Here is a 19,736-nt window from a genome sequence, read left to right as displayed (position 1 = left end):
ATCTGGTAATATTTTCGAGAGCATAATTCAGTACAACAAACATTTACTGAGCAGGTTCTGCTATGGTTTGCATGTTTGTCTCTTCTATTGAGATTACGTTGAAACTTAATCTCTAAGGTGGCAGTACTGAGAGGTGGGGCCTTTAAGAGGTTATTGGGTCATGAGGGCTCTGCCCTCATAAATGGGTTAATCCATTCATGGATTAATGGATCAGTGGGTTAATAGACTAATTGGGTTGTCATAGGAGCGGTACTGATGGCTTTATCAGAAGAAGAGAGATGTAAGCTAGCACACTCAGCCCCCTCACTACATGATGACTTGTGTTGCCTCGGGATTCTGCAGAGAGTCCCCACCAGCAAGAAGGCCCTCACCAGATGCAGCACCTTGACCTTAGACTTCTCAGCTTTTATAACTGTAAGAAATAAATTCCCTTTCTCTATAAATTACCCAGTTTCAGGTATTCTGTTATAAGCAACAGAAAATGGACTAAGTTTCTTTGTATGGGAATATAAAGACTAGCAAGTGGTGATTGCTGCTCCCAAGGAATTTGCATTGTAGTGGGGAAAACACTTCTATTTTAATTTAACACAAGGTATATTGAGTTCACTGCTGTAACAGGATGATAATCAGATCACAAAGATGGGTGAGAGCCCAGGGCCGGGCCCGGAAGGTGACGGAATCCATTCTGCATGCAGCAAGGAGGGAGAGAAGATTGTTTAAAGGCTCAATATTTTCAGTCCTTTTTCTTTCTAAATAGTACATTGTGTTGTTGACACTCTTTCTGTGAGCAGTAAGGGATCCTGTGGATTCAGCATTCCCCAAATATTCCCCAGGGTGATGAGACACACTGAAGGTGTAAAGATTGGGGGAACAGCGCCCGCCCAGTCATTCCAAACTATGGCGAGTCGATAGTCTTCCTTACCAGAGGTGGCGCTGTGGCAGAGAAGACTTAGTGCGGGGGTTCAGAAATGCCAGTTGCCCCTAAGCCCCATTTTGGGGGGTGGTTGATATTGAAATACATTGGTCTTAAAGCCACCAATAGAGTTGTGGATAGTGAAGAAAGACACTGATGATTAAAATGTAATTAAAACCAGTTTTTCCACTAACCCTATTTTGGCCAGACCAAGTGCTGAGATTTAATAAATAAGAGACCAGATAATTTTTTTTTTTATCTCTTGGTGCCTTATTTATATCCAGGGTGGCTTATGACTTTAGTGCTTCTATTATTGCCCGCCGCCCCTTCCTTCCTTCCTTCCGTTCATTCTTTCTTTCTTTCTTTCTTTCTTTCTCTCTCTCTCTCTTTCTTTCTTTCTTTCTTTCTTTCTTTCTTTCTTCTTTCTCTTTCTTCTTTCTTTCATTCTTTCTCTTCGTTTCTTTTTTCTTCTCTCTCATTTTCTTTCTCTCTCTCTTTCTTCTTTTTTCTTTTTGTTTTCTGTGGAATCTGCCTCTTTTTCTTTTATTTCCACTTTTATGATTACTAGAAAGCCATGGTTCCATAATATGGATATAATAGCATATCTGGGATGACCGTGACTCCAGAGCTGCAGGTAGAAACAGCTCCAGGTCATGTAAAGAAGGTGTGTGTCCTTTAATGGAAGATAATTTGAGCATTAAAAAAAAAAAATGTCCAGCCTTCCATCAAACACAGGAGAGCAGTTGCAGAATTAGCAGTCAGGAAACACTGTCTTTATGATCCATGACAACTTCAGTAGCTGTGTGGCATGCGTGAGCTCTGGTGGCCTAACTGAAAAGCCCTGGTGATTAGCAGTACAGCAGAGAGAAGTGCAAAGGAGTAACAGCACAATAGCATAGGCACTGGTTTAAATCTCAGCCTCCAGAGCTCCAAGTTGTGAAAGCTCTAACAGGAAAGGGCTGCAAACTCACATCGTTCCACGCAGAGGGAGCTGTGGCTCATGGCTCTGGGGAAAGCTAATGGCTCCTTGTCGTGACCATAATTTCATTGTAGTGGCAGTTGCCAAACCCAAAGAGAAAACGGAGAGGAGAACAACTTTTATGAAACTATTTCCTCTCAAACACACAAAACTTGTCAACTTAGTTAGAGCTGTATTCCTCCCAGGGGATGCCATCTTCTGGGCTGTCAAACCCATAACATTTGTGGGTGGCAAGATGATGTCATCTGTGTTCGGCAGCTTGTAGTAATTTCCACTGTGAGCCCTGCGCAGAGGTTGAGATGATTGCCATAAATGGGATCTAAGCTTACAGATGAAAGCCTCACTTTTCGTTTCCATTGAGTTCACAATACTCTTTAGCAGGATGACAATTGTGCTGTCGTCAACATTACATCATGCTATCTCCCTCGAAATGGCATCATTCAAGCGTGTGAGCACAGCTGTGAAAACAAAACAGATTTTGCTGTGAGCTTAGTAAATCCTCAAAGCACATTCTAATTGGTTTGCTTGTTTAAAAGTAATATCAAAAATATAATGTCAAAATTGTTGCTGCTGCAAGTGAGTCAGAGAGAAGTTCAGGAGCTCCGGAGGCCCTGAGAGATCAGGCGTGGGTGCTGTGACTGGGCCCTGTCAGTAGAGCCCCTGTCAGGAGTCTTGTTCCTGCGTGGAGGCCCAGTGTGAGCTTGGGTAGAAGTGCTCCTGACAGCCCATGGAGCAAACGCCGGCCTGCCATGCAAATTCCCCTTAGTCCACAAGGCTGGGGGGCACTTATATCACCAGCTGATAACTATGGGGGACCAAGTGATTATTTCCCAATCTGAAGACAACATTTACTATAACCACTATCAAGATCTGCAAGGCTGAGCACCTTTGACAATGAATAATTCCACATCTGGAGAAGCATCCCATCAAATAAATGTAACAACAGTATATAATAAGCAGATACTGTCAGCTCACAGTGCAAAGCAGAAGAAGCTTCCTGATGTTGGAATAAGTGTCAGCTGACAAGATGTTTCCTAGATGAACAGGAAAGGCTGACATGACTGACTGTGGATTAAAATGTGAACCAAAGGAAGGTTTACTTCCTTTATTCTACAAATGGCAAAAACTGCCTAACTCACAGAATGTGCCTAGTTGGTGGCTACCAGAAATGGCTTTACTATACTTTGTGTAAAAAGTGTGTCACTTGGACCTCTGAGACACATACTGGAGAGTCACCGGCAGAGAGTTCTGAGCAGTTCAGGACTTCAGGTTGTTCTCCTTCTGGACAGCAGGACAGTGCTGGAGCTCTCTTAGCTCCTCGGTCTTGTCTTGTGTTGTGTTAAAAAAGTGCAGAGAGGGGAATAAAAAGAGGAAGTTCACCAGGACAGCAGAAAAAAGGTGCCTCCGTGCCACTGCACTCCAGCCTGGGGGACAGAGTGAGACTCCGTCTCAAACAACAACAACAAAAAAAGGCGCCTCCTTCAAAGAGCCGTGTATCCCTAGGCAGAAGCCATCTAGTTGGAGCCAGCAATGATTCATTCCTGGGATTCACGTCTCCTTCCAAAATGGAAGGATATTCGGAGGCTCGGTATTGCCAAGTGAGGGAAGATTTGGAGGTGGTTTACTTTGCTGGGGCTGCCATAACAAAGTACGCGAGACTGGGTAGCTCAAACACCAGGGTTGGTTTCTCCTGAGGCCTCTCTCCTTGGCTTGTAGATGACATCTTCTCCCCATGTCCCCATGTGGTCTTCCCCCTGTGATTCTGTGTCCTAATCCCCTACTTGTAAGGACACCAGTCATACTGGCTGAGGACCCACCCACCCTAATTGTCTCCCTTTAACTTAATTATCTCTGTAGAAAACCTGAGGTCCTGGGGGTTAGGACTTCTACTTTTGAATTTGGGAGGGGCACAACATAGCCCATAACAGAGAGCATCTTCAGAGTCCGTGTCTCCTGCAGCTAAACTCAGGCACGCTTTTGGCCTCACCGGACAGGATTGCCATGGTGTGACTAGGAAGGACCACTCGAGAATCTCGGGCCAGGTGCGTGGCTCAGGCCTGTAATCCAGCAACTTTGGGAGGCTGAGGCCAGCGGATCATTTGAGTTCCAGACCAGCCTGGCCAACATGTTGAAACCCCGTCTCTACTAAAAATAAAAAAATTAGCCTGGTGTGGTGGTGCGCACCTGTAATTCCAGCTACTCTGGAAGCTGAGGCAGAAGAATTTCTTGAACCTGGGAGGCGGAGGTTGCAGTGAGCCGGGATTGCACCACTGCACTCCAGCCTGGGCAACAGAGTGAGACTCTGTCTCAATTAAAAAAAAAAAAAAAGAATATCAAGGATGACACCATTTGGGTTTGTCTTTAGAGCTCGACTGTAAAATTCCATCACTAGCCTTATTTGCATTTAAAAACTGCTTATCGTCCTACACAAGGGACAAAGTTTAGAACTGCTATGGAAAATTTTTTTTCCTAGGGGAAGAGTTAATTTCTCCCTTCACTTCTGCCAACAGAAGTTTCCAGGGTGTAGGGCACTTCTTAAAGTCCTTATGAGGTCCTCATTATTGTGTCTATTTTGCAGACAAAAAACTTTGCCAGCAAGTCTTTGGCAGAGACAGCCCTGTAACTCAGAAATTCCAGACTCCAGCCTCAGTGACACAGATGTGAGCAGTGGTAGCTGCTACCACTGCCGACGAGTAGCTCTTTCTGGTGGGGTCCCTGGAGCTGCTCGGCTGAACATAGCAACACAACACACCTCAGAACCCCACGACTCTTCCTTTGATACAAAAGGGAGGTTGCTGCTGTGGGTGTCAGGGTTTGGCTGGAGCAACAAAAATCACATTTATGTTTATGAAAAATTGCAGAGAGTTTTTTTAATTGAGCAGAAAAATTATACTTACATCACTGAGGTTTGTCCATCATTAAATGCATGTGGTATATTTTATATTATGTCTGACCTAGGTGTGTGAGGCTGTAGATTCTTCTGTGTTTAAACACTGAGCAAGGAGGCACAACTGAGTAAATACTAGGTATCCAAGACCTGATTTTTTATGAACTTGGCTTCACAGTTCTCCCATTATTAGTAAGTCTGAAGACTTAGGATATTACATTGATTTTGTTACCTGAATGCAATCAGTTGTTAAAGTTTCTTAACCTTTTATGTTTACACATATGGATTAAAAAGAGAAGATAAAGAAGATAACAAAGACATAGCCACAGGAGATGAAATATGGAATAAAGGCTGGGTGCGGTGGCTCATACCTGTAATCCTAGGACTTCAGGAGACCAGTGGCGGATCATCTGAGGTCAGGAGTTTGAGACCAGCCTGGCCAGCTGATGGAAATCTGTCTCTACTAAAAATACAAAAATTAGTTGGGCGTGGTGGTGGGCACCTGGAATACCAGCTATTTGGGAGGCTAAGGCAGGAGAATCACTTGAACCCAGGAGGCAGAGGTTGCAGTGAGCCGAGACTGCACCATTGTACTCTAGCCTGGGCAACAAGAGAGAAACTCTGTCTCAAAAAAAAAAAAAAAGAAAGAAAGAAAGAAAGAAAAAGAAAAAAAGAAATATGGACTAAAATTCTCTAAAAAAAGATTTTTATTTCTATGGAGTTATAACTTCACTAAACAGCAAAGAGAGAAGAAGAGAAAATATACTTGTTAAATTTTTAAAAATATTTTTGTAAGTTTTTCATAAGAGATTCTGTTTATAAGTAACTTTGAAATTAATTTTATTGTCTTTGGTACCAGAAATTTTGACTCAAACAAAGAAAGTTTGGATATGTGCATTAAGTGAAATAGATGTGTTGAGTGATGCAGTATCCTTCGGAAGTAAAAAGGAATAAACTGATGCATCTTTAGACATTTGAATGTCAAGCACTGAGAAGTTGCCTTTTTTCAGAGACAGGTGTTAATTTACTCTGAATTAGTGTACATATAATAAGTGGTAGGATATTTCTAAATCAGCTATTTATTAAATAAAATACAATAGGGACTGTGGAGTCTTTCACTGGTTAGTGAAGGTATTAAAGTTTGCTCAAACTTCTTAATTTAAAGCAAATAAATTTACAAATAGATTAATTGTGAAGGCAGTGTCCAGTTTACAGTCCATATACTCTACAATGCAAAAATAATAAAAATTCTAAATTTTCAGGTTTAGAATGTGCAATTTGGAAGGTTCATATAGTTTAAGAGAAAAGGAAGGGAAAAAAAACCGTTGTAATCACCACACCTAAGATAATTATGCTTTTTTACTTTTTCATTTTGAGACAGAGTCTCATTGTGTCACCCAGGCTGGAGTGCAGTGGCACAATCTTGGCTCACTGCAACCTCCACCCCCCTGGCTCAAGCAATTCCCCTGCCCCAGCCTCCCGAGTAGCTGGGATTACAGGTGCATGCCACCACGCCTGTCTAATTTTTTTGTATTTTTAGTAGAGATGGGGTTTCACTGTGTTGGCCAGACTGGTCTTGAACTCCTGACCTCAGGCAATCCACCTGCCTTGGCCTCCCAAAGTGCTGGGATTACAGGCATGAGCCACCATGCCCGGCCTGCTCTTTCATTTGAAAAAGATGTTCTGGTCTCTCAGGTAAAGATGTTTGGGTTGGGGACACAATTTATTTCTAAACACTAATTCCACAACCAATTCTACATAAATAACCTAAGAAAAGTAAATTTAGCAAAAGCCTCTACTTATACAGAAATCTAAGGAAGAAAATCATTAAAACGGCAGAAAGAAGTCCCACCTTGAGGGATGACACAGCCTCCCGGGAAGTGATGGGCAAAGTTCTGTTCCCTGTGAATCTCTAGGCTTGGAGGGCAGAGTTCTGGAGGAAAGAGTGGGCTGCGAAACTCACCTGGGGCTATGGTCTGAATGTTTGTGTCCCTACCAAATTCATATGTTGAAACCTAATCACCAGTGTGCTGGTATTAGGAGGTGAGTCTTTGGGAGGTGGTGAGATCATGAGGGTGGAGTGCTTGTGAATGGGATTAGTGCCCTTATAATAGAGGCCAGAGAGCTGCCTTCCCCTTTTCACTATGTGAGGACACAGTAAGAAGGCACCATCTGTGAAACAGCAAGAAGACCTCCCTAGAAACTGAATCTACCAGCACCTTGACCTTGGACTTCCCAGCCTCCAAAACTGTGAGCAATAACTTTCTGTTGTTTCTAAGCCACCCAGTCTGGTGGTATTGTTACAGCAGCCCGAATGAACTAAGATACCTGGAAAGCTCCAGGTGAAGGGAGTCTAGGTATGTGGACTGCCAGGATCCCTGTTTTGGGGGTCAATGCAGGAACTCAGAGGTCCAGATGACTGCAATTAGTGAAGAACTGTGGTTCTGTGGCTCTGGGGAGAGGAACTTACGCTTTTCCCAGTGTAAAGATGATCCTAACTGTGGTGATGAGCAGCCTGGTAAAACTGTGCGGGAGGCTGCAGAGAGAGGACCCCCCACACTGAACAAGAAGCTGCTGGTCCTGGTGGGAGCAGCATCCCTGGATGGGGGCTCACAGAAAGGCCAGTCTTTGTTGACACAGTGAAAGCTATATAGAAAAACGAGGCTGAACAGGTAGATACATATGTGCCAGATTGGAGGCCTGGCCACAACAAGCCTGCTACTAGGCAGAGTGGCTTCACTATGAACAGAGGGGCAATGACACAAAGTTCCCTACGCGGCACAGCCTGTGGCTCAAATGCTGTCCGCTGTCCTCAAACGGATCGACGGATTAACGATAATCAGTAAGCAAGAACAAAACTAACATGGTGTCTAGGAAAAGATTCTTTATCATGACATCCCACCAGTAAGATTCAGAGATTCCAGACTCCTGGAATATTTTTGAAATATTTTTGAAGTCTATTTTTGAAAAATATTGTTGGCAAAAAATAAATTTCAGACAGCATCTGCTTTTTACTCTCCACGGCATTCTAGAAATATGATCTCCCTAAAGTAAGATGAACCGTGAGAGGACATGTCAACAGAAGATTCAGTTGAGACGTAAGCAGAACCATAAAGGGAAGTAAGGGGGCACTGAAGAAGTGTTTTAGAGCTGTACAGATAACACTAAAGTTTCAAAATGCATCAGAACCAGTAGAGCAGAATCAACCCTGCCAAGAACTATTTCAGTCATACAGAAGAGAGCCCAGAGAAAAAAAATATATGCCATAATGCAAAAAACTAATGCCAAAAAAAGGAGAAAAGAATATGGGGTATTTCATGGCCATATGATGGAGATAAAACATGTGGATAATTGGTATTTATGAAGAAAACACCAGAACAAATGGAATAAAAATTAATATTTAAAGACATATAAAAGTCCTAGAAACCTAAATATTTCCATTAAAATAGCTCACTGGGTACTGGGCAAAATGAAGAGAGTCAAACACTGAACATACCCTGATCAAAGTTGAAATTTATTTATAAATAAAGAACATCCTGAAACAAGGTCATACACCAAAAAAAAAAAAAAAAAAGAGAGAGAGAGATTGGAAAGGGAAATATAGATTGGTCTCAAATAATATAGATGCTAAAATCAGTGAAGCAACCAACATTTGTAGAATTCTGAGGGAGAAACTTTGTGACCCAAAGTTCCTTACATAGCCAAGCTGGTTTTCACCTGTCAAGAACAGAGAAAGCTTTTCAAAGATTCAAGGGCTCATGAATAAATAGTCCATGTATTATTCATGGAGGGAAGAGCTCTCAGAGAAGTAACCTCTTGCTGCTCAAACTGTGGACCACGGCGCAACAGCATCTCATCACCTGGGAGCTTGTTAGAAAACCAGAAACTCAGGCTTCACCCCAGACCTATGAATCAGAACCTGCAATCTATCAAGATCTCCATGTGATTTATATGCATATTAAGGTTTGAGAAGGACTGCTGTAGTAAACCAAGTAATTAATCACACTGTAAAACCCTCAAAACAGTGAAGTCATAGTTGAGGACTGTAGTGAACATTTAACTTAAGTAACCATAGAATCAAATATTAATAAATGTATATTGAAGGTCTACATGTATGTTAATATAATTGCAGGGCAATTCTTCTGGTGGCTTTGGATTAACCCAACCTTCTTCGCTTTTTGCTTATGGTTCTCAAGAATAATTGTAGAATGTGCTGAGAATGCAGTATTCTGAGATGGAGGGAACTGCCTGAAGCAGCCTGGGCCTTGCTCCTGTCCCTCCTAGAGACTGTAACACCTTGAGTTATGGAGGAACTGCCCAGGACAGCCCAGGCTTTGTGCCTCTCTCCCTAGAAGCAGGATGTCTTTCAAAGCTTTAGCCTAGTATGACACATTGCCCCTGAGATATATAATCCAGGGAGGGCTGCCTTTCAGGGCCCCTCAGCTGCGGTGCAAGTGAAGCATGTAGCTTCAAGACTCCATCTCTCCAAGCAGCTTTCCTGAGCCCTGGGAGACCAGCTCACAAGGGAGCCTAGGCTTATGTTGCCTCTTGCTGCCTATCTGCAAGTAATAAACTCACTTCGTATAACTTGCTGCATGTGAGCATGTTCTGTCTCACTGGACTCAGGCAAGTTGGGAACCAGTGCACAGTGAACCTACTTCACAATAACATAAAATAGTAACTTGAAAATAAATATTGTCCAAAATCTAACATAAACAGAGAGGAAGAAAGGGTAGGTGACAGGAAATAAAATGAGCCTATTGTGTCGTCTAGTTCAAAGATATTCAATAGAGTTCTTAATCTTGGGATGTTGTATTCTTGGAATTGGTAGACATATATATTCAATGATGTTCTTGAAGCTTTTAAAGGTGAATGATGCCAAATTACAAATTAGCTATATAAAAAACTATTTCAAAGGAAGAAAATTTATATAATATAAAAAATAAAGAAATAAAAAATGAAGAATGAATCAGAACACATTATTTGTGAAAACAAATGTAAATGGGATAAACTCTCCCTATTCAAAGAAGTAGGCAGATTTTTGTCACTGAAAATAGTTTTATTACTCATCTTTAATATAAAGAAAATAGAAAATACAAAGCAGAAACATCATTACACACAAAGAATCATTATACACAAAGAATCATTGTAAATGTTCTGATGATCATCTTTCCAAAACACAGACCAATTAGTTTTTACAAATGACACCATGCTATGCATACATTTTTAAAACCTACCTATTGAATAAGATGTGCCTAGGTATATATTTTGTTGTTGTTGTTATTTATTTATTTTTTTACTTTACCCTAAGCCTTTTTTTTTGTATATATACTTTAAGTTCTAGGGTACATGTGTACAACGTACAGGTTTGATACATAGGTATACATGTGCCATGTTGGTGTGCTACACCCATTAACTCGTCATTTACATTAGGTATTTCTCCTAATGCTATCCCTCCCCCAGCACCCCACCGCCCTGACAGACCCTGGTGTGTGATGTTCCCCTTCCTGTGTCCATGTGTTCTCATTGTTCAGTTCCCACCTACGAGTGAGCACATGCAGTGTTTGGTTTTCTGTCCTTGTGATAGTTTGCTGAGAATGATGGTTTCCAGCTTCATCCATGTCCCTGCACAGGACATGAACTCATCTTTTTTTATGGCTGCATAGTATTCCATGGTGGGTATGTGCCACATTTTCTTAATCCAGTCTATCATTGATGGACATTTGGGTTGGTTCCAAGTCTGTGCTATTGTGAATAGTCCCACAATAAACATACATGTGCATGTGTCTTTATAGTAGCATGATTTATAATCCTTTGGATATATACCAAGTAATTAGATTGCTGGGTCAAATGGTAATTCTAGTTCTAGATCCTTGAGGAATCGCCACACTGCCTTCCACAATGGTTGAACTAATTTACACTCCCACTAACAGTGTAAAACCATTCCTATTTCTCCACATCCTCTCCAGCATCTGCTGTTTCCTGACTTTTTAATGATTGCCATTCTAACTGGTGTGAGATGGTATCTCATTGTGGTTTTGATTTGCACTTCTCTGATGACCAGTGATGATGAGCATTTTTCATGCGTCTGTTGGCTGCATAGATGTCTTCTTTTGAGAAGTGTCTGTTCATATCCTTTGCCCACTTTTTGATGGCGTTGTTTGTTTTTCTCTTGTAAATTTGTTTGAGTTCTTTGTAGATTCTGGATATTAGCCCTTTGTCAGATGGGTAGATTGCAAAATTTTTCTCCCATTCTGTAGGTTGCCTGTTCACTCTGATGGTAGTTTCTTTTGCTGCGCAGAAGCTCTTTAGTTTAATTAGATCCCATTTGTCAATTTTGGCTTTTGTTGCCATTGCTTTTGGTGTTTTAGTCATGAAGTCCTTGCCCATGCTTATGTCCTGAATGGTATTGCCTAGGTTTTCTTCTAGGGTTTTTATGGTTTTAAGTCTAACACTTAAGTCTTTAATCCATCTTGAATTAATTTTTGTATAAGGTGTAAGGAAGGGATCCAGTTTCAGCTTCCTACATATGGCTAGCCAGTTTTCCCAGCACCATTTATTAAATAGGGAATCCTTTCCATATTGCTTGTTTTTGTCAGGTTTGTCAAAGATCAGATGGTTGTAGATGTGTGGCAATATTTCTGAGGCCTCTGTTCTGTTCCATTGGTCTATATATCTGTTTTGGTACCAGTACCATGCTGTTTTGGTTACTGCAGCCTTGTAGTATAGTTTGAAGTCAGGTAGCGTGATGCCTCCAGCTTCATTCTTTGTGCATAGAATTGTCTTGGCAATGCGGGCTCTTTTTTGGTTCCATATGAAGTTTAAAGTAGTTTTTTCCAATTCTGTGAAGAAAGTCATTGGTAGCTTGATGGGGATGGCATTTAATCTATAAATTACTTTGGGCAGTATGGCCATTTTCATGATATTGTTTCTTCCTATCCGTGAGCATGGAATATTCTTCCATTTGTTTGTGTCCTCTTTTATTTCATTGAGCAGTGGTTTTTATTTCTCCTTGAAGAGGTTCTTCACATCCCTTGTAAGTTGGATTCCTAGGTATTTTATTCTCTTTGTAGCAATTGTGAATGGGAGTTCACTCATGATTTGGCTCTCTGTCTGTTAATGGTGGATATGAATGCTTGTGACTTTTGCACATTGATTTTGTATCCTGAGACTTTGCTGAAGTTGCTTATCAGCTTAAGGAGATTTTGGGGTTTTCTAAATATACAATCATGTCATCTGCAAACAGGGACAATTTGACTTCCTCATTTCCTAATTGAATACCCTTTATTTCTTTCTCTTGCCTGATTGCCCTGGCCAGAATTTCCAACACTATGTTGAGTAGGAGCAGTGAGAGAGGGCATCCCTGTCTTGTGCCAGTTTTCAAAGGGAATGCTTCCAGTTTTTGCCCTTTCAGTATGATATTGGCTGTGGGTTTGTCATAAATAGCTCTTATTATTTTGAGATGTGTCCCATCAATACCTAGTTTATTGAGAGTTTTTAGCATGAAGGGCTGTTGAATTTTGTTGAAGGCCTTCTCTGCATCTATTGAGACAATCATGTGGTTTTTGGCATTGGTTCTGTTTATGTGATAGATTATGTTTATTGATTTGCATATGTTGAACCAGCCTTGCATCCCAGGGATGAAGCAACTTGATCATGGTGGATAAGCTTTTTGATGTGCTGCTGGATTCTGTTTGCCAGTATTTTATTGAGGATTTTCGCATTGATGTTCATCAGGGATATTGGTGTAAAATTCTCTTTTTTTGTTGTGTCTCTGCCAGTCTTTGGTATCAGGATGATGTTGGCCTCATAAAGTGAGTTAAGGAGGATTCTCTCTTTTTCTATTGATTGTAATAGTTTCAGAAGGAATGGTATCAGCTCCTCTTTGTACCTCTGGTAGAATTCAGCTGTGAATCCATCTGGTCCTGGACTTTTTTTGGTTGGTAGGCTATTAATTATTGCCTCAATTTCAGAGCCTGTTATTGTTCTATTCAGAGATTCAGCTTCTTCCTGGTTTAGTCTTGGGAGGGTGTATGTGTCCAGGAATTTATCCATTTCTTCCAGATTTTCTAGTTTATTTGCATAGAGGTGTTTATAGTATTCTCTGATGGTAGTTTGTATTTCTGTGGGATCGGTGGTGATATCCCTTTTATCATTTTTTATTGCGTCTGTTTGATTCTTCTCTCTTTTCTTCTTTATTAGTCTTGCTAGCGTTTTATCAATTTTGTTGATCTTTTTAAAAAACCGGCTCCTGAATTCATTAATTTTTTGAAGGGTTTTCTGTGTTTCTATCTCTTTCAGTTCTGCACTGATCTTAGTTATATCTTGCCTTCTGCTAGCTTTTGAATTTGTTTGCTCTTGCCTCTCTAGTCCTTTTAATTGTTATGTTAGGATGTCAATTTTAGATCTTTCCTGCTTTCTCTTGTAGGCATTTAGTGCTATACATTTCCCTCTACACACTGCTTTAAATATGTCCCAGAGATTCTGGTATGTTGTGTCTTTGTTCTCATTGGTTTCAAAGAACATCTTTATTTCTGTCTTCATTTTGTTATTTACCCAGTAGTCATTCAGGAGCAAGTTGTTCAGTTTCCATGTAGTTGTGCAGTTTTGAGTGAGTTTCTTAATCCTGAGTTCTAATTTGATTGCACTGTGGTCTGAGAGACAGTTTGTTGTGATTTCTGTTCTTTTACGTTTGCTGAGGAGTGCTTTACTTCCAACTATGTGGTCAGTTTTAGAATAAGTGTGATGTGGTGCTGAGAAGAATGTACATTCTGTTAATTTGGGGTGGAGAGTCTGTAGATGTCTATTAGGTCTGCTTGTTGCAGAGCTGAGTTCAGGTCCTGGATATCCTTGTTAACCTTCTGTCTTATTGATCTGTTTAATATTGACAGTGGGGTGTTAAAGTCTCCCATTATTATTGTGTGGGAGTCTAAGTCTCTTTGTAGGTCTATCAGAACTTGCTTTATGAATCTGGGTGCTCCTGTATTGGGTGCATATATATTTAGGATAGTTAACTTTTTGTTGAATTGATCCCTTTACCATTATGTAATGGCCTTCTTTGTCTCTTTTGATCTTTGTTGGTTGAAAGTCTGTTTTATCAGAGACTAGGATTGCAACCCCTCCTTTTTTTTTTTTTTTTTTTTTTTGCTTTCCATTTGCTTGGTAGATCTTCCTCCATTCCTTTATTTTGAGCCTACGTGCGTCTTTGCACGTGAGATGGGTGTCCTGAATACAGCACACTGATGGGTCTTGACTCTTTATTCAATTTGCCAGTCTGTGTCTTTTAATTGGAGCATTTAGCCCATTTACATTTAAGGTTAATATTGTTATGTGTGAAGTCTATCCTGTCATTATGATGTTCACTGGTTATTTTGCCTGTTAATTGACGCAGTTTCTTCATAGCATCAATGGTCTTTACAATTTGGCATGTTTTTGCAGTGGCTGGTACCAATTGTTTCTTTCCATGTTTAGTGCTTCCTTTAGGAGCCCTTGTAAGGCAGGCCTGGTGGTGACAAAATCCTCAGCATTTGCTTGTCTGTAAAGGATTTTATTTATCCTTCATTTATGAAGCTTAGTTTGGCTAGATATGAAATTCTGGGTTGAAAATTCTTTTCTTTAAGAATGTTGAATATTGGCCCCCACTCTCTTCTGGCTTGTAGAGTTTCTGCCAAGAGATCAGCTGTTAGTCTGATGGGCTTCCCTTTGTGGGTAACCTGACCTTTCTCTCTGGCTGCCCTTAACACTTTTTCCTTCATTTCAACCTTGGTGAATCTGACAATTATGTGTCTTGGGGTTGCTTTTCTCGAGGAGTATCTTTGTGGTGTTCTCCGTATTTCCTGAATTTGAATGTTGGCCTGCCTTGCTAGGTTGGGGAAGTTCTCCTGGATAATATCCTGCAGAGTGTTTTCCAACTTGGTTCCATTCTCCCCATTACTTTCAGGTACACCAATCAAATGTAGATTTGGTCTTCTCACATAGTCCCATATTTCTTGGAGGCTTGGTTTGTTTCTTTTTACTCTTTTTTCTCTAACCTGTCTTCTCACTTTATTTCATTGGTTTGATCCTCAATCGCTGACACCCTTTCTTCCACTTGATCAAATCGGCTATTGAAGCTTGTGCATGTGTCATGAAGTTCTCGTGCCATGGATTTCAGCTTCAGGTCATTTAAGGTCTTCTCTACACTGTTGATTCTAGTTAGCCATTCATGTAATCTTTTTTCAAGATTTTTAGCTTCCTTGCAATGGGTTCGAACATCCTCCTTTAGCTTGGAGGAGTTTGTTATTACCGACCTTCTGAAGCCTACTTCTGTCAACTCATCAAAGTCATTCTCCGTCCAGCTTTGTTCCGTTGCTGGTGAGGAGCTGCGATCCTTTGGAGGAGAAGAGGCACTCTGATTTTAGAATTTTCAGCTTTTCTGTTCTGGTTTCTCCCCATGTTTGTGGTTTTATCTACCTTTGGTCTTTGATGTTGGTGACCTACAGATGGAGTTCTGGTGTAGAAGACCTTTTTGTTGATGTTGATGCTATTCTTTTCTGTTTGTTAGTTTTCCTTCTAATAGTCAGGTCCCTCAGCTGCAGGTCTGTTGGAGTTTGCTGGAGGTCCATCCTGGGTATCACAAGTGGAGGCTGCAGAACAGCAAATATTGCTGCCTGATCCTTCCTCTGGAAGCTTCATCCCAGAGGGGCAGCCGCCTATATGAGGTATCTGTCAGGCCCTACTGGGAGGTGTGTCTCCCAGTTAGGCTACACGGGGGTCAGGGACCCACTTGAGGAGGCAGTCTGTCCATTCTCAGAACTCAAACGCCATGCTGGGAGAACACTGCTCTCTTCAGAGCTGTGAGACAGGGACGTTTAAGTCTGCAGAAGTTGTCTGCTGCCTTTTGTTCAGCTATGCCCTGCCCACAGAGGTAGAGTCTAGAGGCAGTAGGCCTTGTTGAGCTGTGGTGGTCTCCGCCCAGTTCAAGCTTCCCAGCCACTTTTCATTTGACTTTTTCTTACCTACTCAAGCCTCAGCAATGGCAGATGCCCCTCCCCCAGCCAGGCTGCAGCCTCGCAGTTCCAACTCAGACTCTGTGCTAGCAGTAAGCAAGGCTCTGTGGGTGTGGGACGCACCAAGCCAGGCGCAGGATATAATCTCCTGGTGTGCCGTTTGCTAAGACCATTGGAAAAGCACGGTATTTGGGCGGGAGTGTCCTGTTTTTCCAGGTAGTCTGTCACAGCTTCCCTTGGCTAGGAAAGGGAAATCCCCCAACCCCTTGCACTTCCAGGTGAGGTGATGCCCCACCCTGCTTCAGCTCGCCCTCCGTTGGCTGCACCCACTGTCCAACCAGTCTCAATGAGATGAACCAGGTACCTCAGCTGCAATTGCAGAAATAACCCATCTTCTGCGTCGATCACGCTGGGAGCTGCAGACTGGAGCTGTTCCTATTCAGCCGTCTTGCTGCTGTTGTTATTTGTTTGTCATTTTTCTGCTTGGGATTCTCTGAACTCCTTGGATCTGTGGTTTGATGTATTTTGTTAATTTTGAAAATTTCCTTGTAAATATTTCTTTGAACAATTATATCTCTCTTCTGGGATTGTAACCACTCATTGTTAGATCGTTTGATATTGTTCCACAGCTCTTCAATGTTCTGTGTGTGTGTGTGTGTGTGTGTGTGTTTTTAACTGTTTTCTCTGTGTTTTGGTTGGGTAATTTCTAATATCCTATCTTCAAGTTTATTGATTCTTTTCTTGGTTCTCTCAAGTGTACTGAAGAGTCAGCTAAGTCACAATGGTTTTCTTTCCCCTAGTATTTTCTTTTTTAAAAAAGTGTTTTTAATATATTTTTTAAATCCCCTAGTATTTTCATTTGACTTTTTCTTACAGTTTCCATCTATTTGCTGAAAATGTTCATCTCTTAATGCATGCTGACACTTTCCCCCTAGAGCATCTAACATATGAATTATAGTTATTTTAAATTCCTCATCTGATAGCTTTAATATCTGGGTTCTTCCTGAGTCTGGTTGTGTTGATTGCATTGTCTCTTGACTTTGGTTGTTTTTATCTTGTTTTCCATGTATGTCTTCTAATTTTTGATTGAATGTTGGGCATCAGGTATAGAAAAACCAACACTATGGTAAATAGTATTTATTTCTGCAAATGGGCATGCCTCCTGTGCTAGCCTATTAGTGTTGGCAATGCTATATTATGAGATATTACATCCTCCTGAGTAAACCTACTTAGTAATTGAGGTGGGTTTGAATTTTGTTGTTGCTATGGTGACCTTCAGTACATCACTGACTTTAATTTTTCTAGCATTACTTTGTGCTTAGGGTGGAGGCTGGGGTTCCAGGATATTTTTCTCAGAGCTCCTGCTTCACCCTCAATTTTCAGTCTTACCAGTTTGTCTGTGACAAAGACTGGGAGGCCTATCTCCATGCTCTTGCCTTCTCCCCAGAAGTAGACTGCTGTTGCTCGTTACTTGGTGCTTGCTTGGTGGTGGAGACAGGGAAGGGAGATTCTCTCTTGTCCAGATCCAGCTTCAGTCTTAGGCAAGTCTGTCTGCCTAGGTCTTAGGAATGGGACTTTCTCAGTGATCCTGCTCTTCTTCCCAGTGACTGCCAAACTGCCTCATATCTGTGCTGGGTCTTGAATAGGACAGTTCCTCGCCCCTCCCCCACATGTTGGAGACCCCTATTCATATTGTCATATATATGATCCTTGACCCAGAACTCTTTCCTTCCCCTTCTCCAGGGGTAGAGGATGTTACTTCTTTTCTTTTTACCTTTTTCCAAGCTCCCCCAACTTTGCCAGTGCCCTGGAAACCTAAACTATATTTATAGGAGAAGAGAGTTCAGTCAGGATTTTGTGAATTTCCTACAACAACAACCACTCCCATTCTTCAGGTCCACACCACCAAAGGAGGTTCCCTTGGTCTCATTGCTCTGCTTCCAGACTTTCTCATGAGCATCCAGTGGAGGCCCAGTAGAAGGTCCTGAATGTGAGTGCAAACTCCCTTTGTGTGTGGAGTTCTCAGGGGTGCTATACTCTTGTGCCAGCCCACACTTGGCTTTTGCTCTTAATCGTAAAGTTTAGCCAAATTCTTCTTACCCACTTGTACAGTCCCAGCATCTCTTCCTCCTGGTCTCTGCTACAGAGAAATCAGTGAGGGTGCTCCATCTTTCCTTGGAGAAGCCTGACTTTTCTTGGATTTAAGGATATTTGGTTGCCCCATGCCCTCAGCTCTTTGATGAGTTCATGAAAAGTTATCGTGTTGTAGTATATCCGGTCTTTTTGTTTTGTTTTGTTTGTAGTTTATTTTTCTGTTATTAGGGTAGGGGAATAATTTTTCCTGCTTTCTACACTCTACATGGAACCAGACATGGTTTCAAATAGTTTATCTCTTCTTTACAAAAAAAAAAAAATCCCTAAAGTCTCTAACCGATGAAGAAATTTAAGCACAGAACATTTTAATCACCTGAAGTTATACAGCCAGAAGGAGTAGTGCTGACATTCAAGCCTCTCAGTAGTCTGATGGCAGAGGCTGCACCATGAACCACTAAAATACACCACTGTGCATGTTGCACATGGTCTACCTATGTCATTTTTAATTTACTCAGTGCTTTCCTGAGGGGTAGCAGTTTGCTTCCCATGGTTTGCTATTATAAACAATGCTGCAATGAAATTGTGAAGTTATCTCCCAAGGATAAGGTCCTGGACCTATTGCTGGGTCAAAAGGTATACTTATATAAATTTAAAATACCTACTGCCAAATAGCAACTAGGAAGAGTCCTTTAAAAATTACATTTAAACTCTTCAATGACAAAATTACAGAAGTGGTATGAAGACAAGCTTATTGCAAAAATTCAAATGTAAATGTTAGTTATATGCACATAACCTAGAAATGCTTAACAATTAAGAAAAAACTAGGTATGTCACGAATATATAAAATATATGTAGATTCTATTTTATCATTTACTACCATAAAATATACACAAAGCTATTATAAAAAGTTAAAATATATCAAAACTCATGCATGTAAACACTTACAGACCATACATGGCACCATTCTCAGTCAAGAGACATATAAACAAACAGAAAGATGCAGTATTAAATCATAACTGCATTAAATTAACTGTAGCATGTACTGTACTACTATAATAATTTTGCAGCCACCTCCTGTAGCTATTGCAGTGAGCTCAAGTGTTGTGAGTATCAGCTTCAAATGCTGTGTGATGCTCATCATCTCCCTTCAAGCAGTTCCTCTCTTCAGGAAATTGCATATCACAGCAAAAAGTGATCTTATGGTTCTCATGTATTTTTCATTGTGTTTGTTGCAATACCAAAACCTGGAATAATACCAGGGGACCCATACAAAGCACCACTAGGGATGCTGGAAGGGTTCCCAGGAAGCAGAGAAAAGTCATGACATTACAAGAAAAAAGTTGAATTGTTTGATATGCACTGAGGTCTGCAGCTGTGGTTGCTGCCATTTCAGACAGATGAGGCATCTTGTAAACAGATGACATAAACTTACGGTATTGATAAATACAGCACAGTGGTGCAAATGTGTTTTCCTTCTGTATGATTTTCTTAATATTTTCTTTTCTCTGGCTTACTTTATTGGAAGAATACAGTATATAACACATGTAACCTACAAAATGTGTGTTATTTGACTGTTTATGTTAACTGTAAGGCTTCTGATCAATATTAGGCTATTAGTAGTTACATTTTGGGGAGTCAAAAGTTATACATGGACTTTCGAGTGTGTGGGGGTCAATGCCCCTAACTCCCACATCGTTCAAGGGTCAATGTGTATATATATATATGTGTGTGTGTGTGTGTGTGTGTGTGTGTGTATGTATATGTATATATACATATATATAGATAGATACATATATATATATATATATATATATATATATATATATATATATATATATATGTCTCTGTGTGTCTTTACTCCTGGCCCACTCCAAT

The 19,736-nt window shown here is 40.8% G+C and overlaps 1 long non-coding RNA gene across 1 annotated transcript in view, besides 1 other annotated feature; it reads left to right on the top strand.

Annotated features, from left to right (window-relative positions):
- Positions 1-19,736, top strand: part of BLOC1S5-TXNDC5 (BLOC1S5-TXNDC5 readthrough (NMD candidate)) — a 183,165-nt gene that overhangs the window by 122,492 nt on the left and 40,937 nt on the right. The window lies entirely within an intron of this gene.
- Positions 2,990-3,059: an enhancer, noted in NCBI's record as "active region_23953". NCBI's record gives its function as "activates an Ori minimal core promoter by ATAC-STARR-seq in GM12878 lymphoblastoid cells {active_cell/tissue: GM12878}" and the evidence as "EXISTENCE:reporter gene assay evidence [ECO:0000049][PMID:35858748]".

The sequence above is a fragment of the Homo sapiens genome, chromosome 6 (genome assembly GCF_000001405.40).
Source record: "Homo sapiens chromosome 6, GRCh38.p14 Primary Assembly".
Taxonomy (NCBI): Eukaryota; Metazoa; Chordata; class Mammalia; order Primates; family Hominidae; genus Homo; species Homo sapiens.
The sequence above is the reverse complement of the archived record's forward strand: the minus strand, read 5'-3'. Positions and strand labels throughout refer to the sequence as shown.